General features: G+C 39.3%; 1 protein-coding gene across 14 annotated transcripts in view; it reads right to left on the bottom strand.

The window, feature by feature from the left end:
• Positions 1-1,443: 1,443 nt before the first annotated feature.
• ZNF383 (zinc finger protein 383) overlaps positions 1,444-9,309 on the bottom strand; it is a 30,527-nt gene continuing 22,661 nt past the window's right edge. For all 14 annotated transcript variants that reach the window (NM_001387597.1, NM_001387595.1, NM_001387598.1 and 11 more), the window contains one exon: positions 1,444-7,715. In NM_001387597.1, the coding sequence (NP_001374526.1) occupies positions 6,520-7,715 (1,196 nt within the window). In that variant the 3' untranslated portion in view covers positions 1,444-6,519. The remainder of the gene's footprint in view (positions 7,716-9,309) is intronic.

Raw genomic sequence — 9,309 nt, 5'->3', positions numbered from 1 at the left:
TTTATTATTATTATTATTATAAAGCATTTTCCTTTTTTAATATAACAATTTGAATCAGACACCACTTCAGGTACAAAGATATTAGGATACCTTTAGAGTAGAAAGGGAGCTAACTCATTCTTTCTAAGAGTTAAAGTATCTTCCATTATATGAGCATTTAAGATGTTAAAGTACTTTTGCACCAAAAATAATACTTTTTTTTTTTTTTGAGATGGAGTTTCACTCTTGTACCCCAGGCTGGAGTGCAATGGTGTGATCTTGGCTTACTGCAAACCCTGCCTCCCGGGTTCAAGCGATTCTCCTGCCTTAGCCTCCTGAGTAGCTGGGATTACAAGCATGCGCCACCACACCCGGCTAATTTTTGTATTTTTAGTAGAGACGGGGTTTCACCATGTTGGCCAGACTGGTCTCAAACTCCTGACTTCAGGTGATCCTCCCGCCTCAGCCTCCCAAAGTGCTGGGATTACAGATGTGAGCCACCACGCCTGGCCTGTAAATATTATTTTACTTATATGAGTTTTTACTTCTGCTGGGACAAATTGCACGAGTAAACAAATATATGTGCATATAATGTAATATATGTGTATATAATTATATATGTGAATCTACAACTTAATATATACACATACATAAAATAACATATACAATTTAACATATACACAAATATAAGCTGGGTGCCGTGGCTCACTCCTGTAATCCTAGCAGTTTGGGAGGCCAAGGTAGGGGATTGCTTGAACCCAGGAGTTTGAGACCAGCCTAGGCAACATGGTGAAACCACATCTGTACAAAAAATACAAAAATTAGGTGGGTGCGGTGGCATGTACCTGTAATCCCAGGTACTTGGGACGCCAAAGTGGGAGAATTGTTTGAGCCCAACAGGCGGAGGTTGCAGTTAGCCAAGATCATGCCACTGTACTCCAGCCTGGGTGACACAGCGAGACTCTGTCTCAAACAAAAAGTCAAAAAACAACTGATGCTGGTGAGGCTGCGGAGAAAAGAGAATGCTTATACACTGTTGGTGAGAGCATAAAATAGTCCAGCCAGTGTGAAAAGCAGCCTGGAGATTTCTCAGAGAACTTAAAACAGAGCTACCATTTGACCCAGCAATCCCATTACTGTGTATCTACCCAAAAGAAAAGAAATCATTCTACCAAAAAGACAAATGCACTTGTATGTTGATCGCAGCACTATTCACAATAGCAATGATGGGGAATCAACCCAGGTGCCCATCAATGGTAGACTGGATAAAGAAAACGTGGTACATCAAGCTCATCCAACCCACGCTCCATAGGCTGCATGTGGCCCAGGATGGCTTTGAATGCAGCCCCGCAATCCACCCTCATCCAAAATGCACAGCAATGATTGGATATGTTGGCTATGTTTAAAGACCCTTCAAGTAGGAAGTAAAGGGCATAAATGAATGAACAGTGATACTGCAGCAGATAGGATAATAGTCCAAGTTTATTTATAAAATATATCCCATCCTGTCAAATACTGCTAGAAAAAAGGGTTCATCTAGAAGATGTTGAGGTTAGAGCATATATTTTCATTGACAGAACTTTAGTTATTTGAACTTTTGCAATCCCATGTAAATTATCTTATCTTGTATTCCAAAAATCCCATGCTATCCACATCTATTTGGTTCCTGAGTTCAGACACTAAGAAATACAATCTTATCTAAATCAATTTGATTTTCAAGTTTCAGAAAGTAGAAAGTTTGATTTATCAGAATTGTTTTTTCCTAAATTCAGAATGTGACAAATATTTATTTTCAATGGGTTACTAGATTTGATTTGCTAATTTATAATGCTGTATTTTCATAACTGATTCTGGACAAATTGTTTTGGGTTCTAGTAGGTTGTAACATCAGGATTATGACAAATTTTAAAAATAGATAATTTGCTATCTCAGTCTATGTCCTAGAAGAGTTTCCTAAGACATTTCATAGATTTCACCTATAAAAATCTCTACCTTGGTGTCTTTTTTAGTGTAGCAATTTGACATTTAAAATATATTTTAAGAAAAATTTTATTTCACTTATTTATTTTTGAGAGAGTTTCACTCTTGTTGCCCAGGCTGGAGTGCAATGGCATGATCCCCGCTCACCGCAATCTCTGCCTCCCGGGTTCAAGCCTTTCTCCTGCCTCAGCCTCCTGAGTAGCCGGGATTACAGGCATGAGCCACCACGCCCGGCTAATTTTTTGTATTTTTAGTAGAGACAGGGTTTCTCCATGTTGGTCAGGCTGGTCTCAAATCCCCGACCTCAGGTGATCCACCCGCCTTGGCCTCACAGAATGCTGAGATTACAGGCGTGAGCCACCATGCCTGGCCAGTCTTATTTTTTTAAATAAGTTTATTCTGGAGGGAGGTCTATTAAGATTTTACACCTCCAGTTAATTCTGATGTCGTCAACTTATTAAAAATCACAGACTTTTTCCAGATTTTCAGATATATTATAAAAATGTCTATAATACCAACTTTTAAGTTTGTTGTTTTAATTTTTTTTTTTTTCTGTAGAGATGAGGGGAGGGGGATCTCATTATGTTACCTAGACTGGTCTTGAACTCCTGGCCTCAAGCCATTCTCCTACCTCAGCCTCCCAAAGTGCTGGAATTACAGGCATGAGCCACTGCAACCAGCCTTAAGTTTTTAAATTGAGATCAAATTCACACAGCATAATATTCACCCTTTTAAAGTGTATAGTTGAGTGACCTGTAGTATATAAACAAAATTGTACAACCTTTACCCATGCCACATTTTCATTACCCCAAATGACACAGTTCTTTTAAGTTTACATATATAGCCATTTCAATTTCTCATATACAATATTGTTTATTTGTCATCCTTATTTCACCTCTGGAATCACTAAACTTTGTCTCATTTTTTTTCTCTTCCATCAAATATCAATTTTGGATTCAGATCCAGTTTTTTTCTTTCAATTATTTCTGCCTTTTAAAATAATACTACCTCCTTCCTCCCACAATTCATTTCAGCTTGTTTTAGTTCCTTGGGTTCTATATTTTTTCTTCCTAGTATTACAATATATGCACAAATATTAGGTTATAAAACTTCCAATACAACTTTTACTGCCACTCACAGGTTTTTCAATTGTTTTCATTTTCATGTACATTTAAATAATGTATATATTAGGGATTTATTCCTTAACCCATGTTAATTAAGAGGGAATATTGAATTAATAATCAGATATTTGATGGTTATCCTATTGTACTGCTTCTTCTGGTCAAATAATGTTGCCAGTATGTTTTCTGCATTTTGGGGGGAAATATTAGAAAAAATTTTATAATCTCTTCCTGCTTTTTTGACAGCTGTGCTTTCTACTACTCATCATATTTTCAGGGTTTCAGATTGGTAACCGTTTATTTTTTATTTTGTAAGACAGAGTCTCGCTCTGTCACCCAGTCTGGAGTGTGCAGTGGTGCAATCTCAGCTCACTATAACCTCCAACTCCCAGGTTCAAGCAATCCTCCCACCTCAGCCTCTTGAGTAGCTAGGATTACAGGCATGCAACACCATGCCTGGCTATTTGTTTTTGTTTTTGTTTTTTTTGTATTTTTAGTAGAGACGGGGTTTCACCATGTTGGCCAGGCTGGTCTCGAGCTCCTGACCTCAAGTGATCCACCCACCTTGGCCTCCCAAAGTGCTAGGATTACAGGTGTGAGCCACCGCGCCCAGCCTCAGACTGGTATTCTTTATGTAGCATAAAAGATAAAGTCTGAACAAAGACTATGCACACATACTTTTTCTCTTCCTTTTAAAATTCCACACTGAATAATAATGATAGGGAAAGGCTTCGTTATACTCATTACAAGTGTTTCTCTTTTTCCACCATGAATTACAAATTTGCCAAAGGTAAACAACATGGTTAAAATCCTTTCCATAAATCCTAATGAAGATACTTATGATAATGAGTATATCACTGATAATAGTGGAAAACTTTTACTAAACCTGTATTATGTGATAACAGTTTGAGGTACTTTGCATTTATTAATTCATTGACTCTTCACAGCAATCCAATACATACAGCCTTATTATAGATGCCTAGACATAATTTTTTAAAATACCACTAACAGCCAGGGGCGGTGGCTCACACCTATAATCCCAGCACTTTGGGAAGCCAAGGCAGGAGGATCACGAGGTCAGGAGTTTGAGAGCAGCCTGGCCAATATGGTGAAACCCCATCTCTACTAATAATACAAAAATTAGCTAGGCATGGTGGCGCGCGCCTGTAGTCCCAGCTACTCGGGAGGCTGAGGCGGAAGACTCACTTGAACTCGGGAGGCAGAGGTTGCAGTGAGCCGAGATTGCACCACTGCCCTCCAGCCTGGGCAACAGAGCGAGACTGTGTCTCAAAAAACAAAAACACCACTAATAGCTATAAGAAAAAATAATTGACCGGGCACAGTGGCTCACACCTGTAATCCCCGAACTTTGGGAGGCCGAGGTGGGTGGATCACAAGGTCAAGAGTTCAAGACCAGCCTGGCCAACATAGTGAAACCCTGTCTCTACTAAAAATACAAAAATTAGCCAGGCATGGTGTCGTGCGCCTGTAGTCTCAGATACTAGGAAGGCTGAGGCAGGAGAATCGCTTGAACCCGGGAGGCAGCAGTTGTGGTGAACTGAGATTGTGCCACTGCACTTCAGCCTGGGCAACAGAGTGAACTCCATCTCAAAAAAAAAAAAAAACAAACAAACAAAAAATTAATATCTGGATTGATAAATAACACTTTCATAACAGTGTTACTTTCTAGTATGGCATTGGGATTAGGATTGATGTAAGGGAACAAAACAGCTCACAAGGAGAAAATGTAGATAATTTTAGCAATTAAAATAAATGTTTTAAAAGTAAAAATAAGCATCCAATGAGGTCAGCAGTTTTTGTGTTTTTTTGAGACGGAATCTCACTCTGTCCCCCAGGCTGGAGTGCAGTGGCACCATCTCAGCTCACTGCAACCTCCGCCTCCCAGGTTCAAGCAATTCTCCTGTCTCAGCCTCCCGAGTAGCTGGGATTACAGGTACATGCCACCACGCCCAGCTAAGTAGAGACGGGGTTTCACTGTTAGCCAGGATGGCCTTAATCTTCAGACCTTGTGATCCGCCCACCTCGGCCTCCCAAAGTGCTGGGATTACAGGCATGAGCCACTGTGCCCAGCCGAGGTCAGCTTTTATAGCTGCAAAAATTTAGTGGCAACCATAATGGGAATAGTCATTTTAAAGTCATTAAATATGTCATGAAAATAATAAAAATCTATATTTACTGAAATGGCACTCATGAAATCTTTGGCATGATAAAAGCAGTTAAGGGTACAGCATGCATATCATAATTACACTTTCTTAAAAAAGCAAAGTATAGCACGATTTTCTCTACCAAATTGAGAGCAGCCATCTATAAGTATGATTACAATTAATTTTGGCTTTTTAGTTTGTAATTTTTTGCTTTGTGATTTTGGCTTAACAATTAAAAATGTACATTTGTAAAATAAAAAGACCGGCCGCAGTGGCTCACGCCTGTAATCCCAGCACTTTCGGAGGCCGAGGCGGGTGGATCACCTGAAGTCGGGAGATTGAGACCATCCTGGCTAACATGGTGAAACCCCGTCTCTACTAAAAATACAAAAAATTAGCCGGGTGTTGTGGCACATGCCTGTAATCCCAACTACTCAAAAGGCTGAGGCAGAAGAACCACTTGAACCTGGGAGGCGAAGGTTGTGACGAGCCGAGATTGCACCATTGCACTCCAGCCTAGGCAACAAGAGCGAAACTCCGTCTCAACAAAAAATAAAGCCAGGTGCAATCGCTCATGCCTGTAATCCCAGCACTTTGGGAGGCTGAGGCAGGTGGATCACCTGAGGTCAGGAGTTCAAGACTATCCTGACCAACATGGAGAAACCCTGTCTCTACTAAAAATAGAAAATTAGCAGGGTGTGGTGGCACACGCCTGTGATCCCAGCTACTCAGGAGTCTGAGGCAGGAGAATTGCTTGAAGCCGGGAGGTGGAGGTTGCAGCGAGCCGAGATTGCGCCACTGCACTCCAGCCTGGGCAACAGAGTGAAACTCCGTCTCAAAAAACATATAATAATAATAATAAAATAAAACAAAAAGACTAACACTAACTTCAAAAACAAAGTTAAACCTCCACAAGGAATTTAAAAATATTAAAGGTCACACAATTCAAACAGTGTGATACTGGTGCAAACACAAATACACAGATCAGAAAAGATAGCTCTAAAAACACAAGCAAATATAAACATGAGTATAATGTGTCACCAAGAAAGTAGAACAAAACAATGAATGAAAGAATTATAGAACAGCTGGCATCGGTATATGACTGGGGGAGAGAGGGAATGTCACTTTAGACTCCGAATTTATAACCTGGAATGAAATACATTTGGATACAAAATTTAAATACAAAGTTTTAAAAAAAACTACGGAAGAGGGTAACTATTAGACATGATTTTTGGTTTAAAATATGAGGAAGGTGACAGGGGCTTTAATTTTTATTATTTATTAGTATGAATTCCCTGATGACGAATGAGATCCGAGCCACTACTAAAAGCCTTCCCACATTCCTTACAGTTATAGGGCTTTTCACCAGTGTGAATTCTCAGATGTCGAGTAAGGTTTGAGCATTTATTAAAGGCCTTTCCACATTCATTACATTCATATGGTTTTTCATCTGTATGAATTCTCTGATGCTGGAAAAGTTGTGAGTTCTGAGTAAAGGCCTTCCCACATTCAAGACATTCAAAGGGTTTCTCACCAGCGTGAATTCTCTGATGTTGACGAAGCTGTGAGCTCTGAGTAAAAGCCTTTCCACATTCCTTACAATCATAGGGTTTCTCACCAGTGTGAATTCTCTGATGATTAGTAAGTGCTGAGCCACTACTAAAGGCTTTGCCACATTCCTTGCACTCATAGGGTTTCTCACCAGTATGAATTCTCTGATGTTGAACAAGCTTTGAGCTCTGGGTAAAGGCTTTGCCACATTCCTTACATTCATAGGGTTTCTCACCTGTATGAATTCGTGCATGCTGAAAAAGTTGTGAGCTCTTAGTAAAGGCTTTCCCACATACTTTACATTCATAAGGTTTTTCACCAGTGTGAATTCGCTGATGGTCAATAAGATTTGAGCAATAACTAAAGGCCTTCCCACATTCCTTACATTCATAGGGTTTCTTACCGGTATGGATTCTCTGATGTTGAGAAAGGTATGAGCTACAACTGAAGGCCTTTCCACATTCCTTACATTCAAAGGGTTTTTCGCCAGTATGAATTTTCAGATGCCGAGTAACATGTGAACCACAACTAAAGAATTTCCCACACTCTTTACATTCATAAGATTTTTCACCAATATGAATTCTCTGATGTTGAATAAATTGTGAGTTCTGACTAAAGGCCTTTCCACATTTCTTACATTCATAGGGTCTGTCTTCATTATTAATTATTTGATGGAGAGTAAGGAATGTCTGTTGAATAAATGTGGGCATGTATTCAGGAGTGAATATTTCTTGACTAAAATGCCCATTTGGATATCCCAGTTGTTTTGCAAGGTGGCTTCTATATTCCAAAACATCTCCAAAACTGGAGTACTCAAGGCCATGCTTTGTAAGTCCCATTATCTCCCTCTGGCATAATTCTATTTCATAAACTTCCTTCTTTAGAGATAATAACTTGGTTTCACACATCGATTCCAGATCTGAAAGAAAATAAAATGGTAAATGTTCTTTTTTCCTATTTGTGAAAAATTAAACTTTTATAATAGAAATGGAAAAATTAAAGTAAGAATAGTATCTACTAGGTAAATGACACAGGGTTCACAAGGATATCTGTGTTATCTGAAAAAATGGACAAGAAAGACAAAGAAATTAGTAAGATAATGCAGGAAGCAGAGGAAGGTAACTACGCAAATAAGTTACTACAATGATACTCAAATATGGATGTGGATCAGAATCAACTGGAAAGGCTGGTAAATATACAATGGTTGGGCTATTTTCCATATTAAAACATGACTGGCCATATATATGTACATAAGTATACTTTTATAGTATATATAGATACTATACTATATATAGTATAGTATCTATACTATATATAGTATCTATATAGTATATATAGTATCTATACTATATATAGTATCTTTATAGTATATATAGATAAGTATATATATTTATATAGTATATATAGACATACTATATAGTATATATATACTTATATAGATATATATGATATACATATATCTATATAAGTATGCGTGTGTACATAAGAGATAAGTATATCATACAATATGTGTAACATGAAGTGGATCATTTTCTAGCCTCCATTAAAGGTCTCCTGAGAGAAATAAATGCATATGGGGAAGATTCTTTGGCTCTGAGGTATAATAAAGCCCCACACTGAGCTTCAAAAACACTTGGAATTTCCTGACAGGAGGTCTTTGTTATGCTAATAAGGTAATTCATGGTAGGACCTTAGAAAGCTTCAGGGTGGGGTCTGATTACCAGAAACACTAGCTTGTGATTACAAGGGTGGGACTTGCAGCTGCTTGACCTCTGAGAAGTGTAGAGAGGCTAGAGATTGAGTGGCACAGATTTAATCAATTGTGCCTGTGTAATAAAACCTCAATAAAAATGCTGGGCAGTAAATTCAGTGGAGCTTTCTGGTTGGTAAATGCACTGATGTGATAGGAGAGTGACAAACTGACTCCACAGGGAGAGGGCATGGAAACTGTCCAGTTCCAGATCTTGCTCAAATATGTATCCTAATAAAACTGTAGCTTTAAATACAGAGCTTTCCTGATTTCTATGAGTCATTCTAACAAATTATTGAACCTGAGACCTTGGAAACCCCTTAATTTATTGCTGTTAGCTGGCTGACCTGCAGGTAGCCGGGGGACTCCCAAGACTTGCAGCTGGCATCTGAGGTGAGGACAGTACTATGGAAGACTGTGAGGTCTCCACATCCTGAATAGTGTCAGAAGTGAACTGCAGCAAACCCAGTTGGGGTGGAAACAGAATAAGGTCTTTAATAAAGGATACAGTGGATACAATTTGAATGTGGTGGCTGGGCATGGTGGCTCACACCTGTAATCCCAGCACTTTGGGAGGACGAGGCGGGCAGATCACCTGAGGTCAGGAGCTCCAGACCAGCCTGGCCAGCATGGTGAAACCCTGTCTCTACTAAAAATACAAAAATTAGCCAGGCATGGTGGCACGTGCCTGTAATCCCAGCTACTCCGGAGGCTGAGGCAGAAGAACTGCTTGAACCCAGGAGGCAGAGGCTGCCGTGAGCTG

The sequence above is a fragment of the Homo sapiens genome, chromosome 19 (genome assembly GCF_000001405.40).
Source record: "Homo sapiens chromosome 19, GRCh38.p14 Primary Assembly".
NCBI lineage: Eukaryota > Metazoa > Chordata > Mammalia > Primates > Hominidae > Homo > Homo sapiens.
The sequence above is the reverse complement of the archived record's forward strand: the minus strand, read 5'-3'. Positions and strand labels throughout refer to the sequence as shown.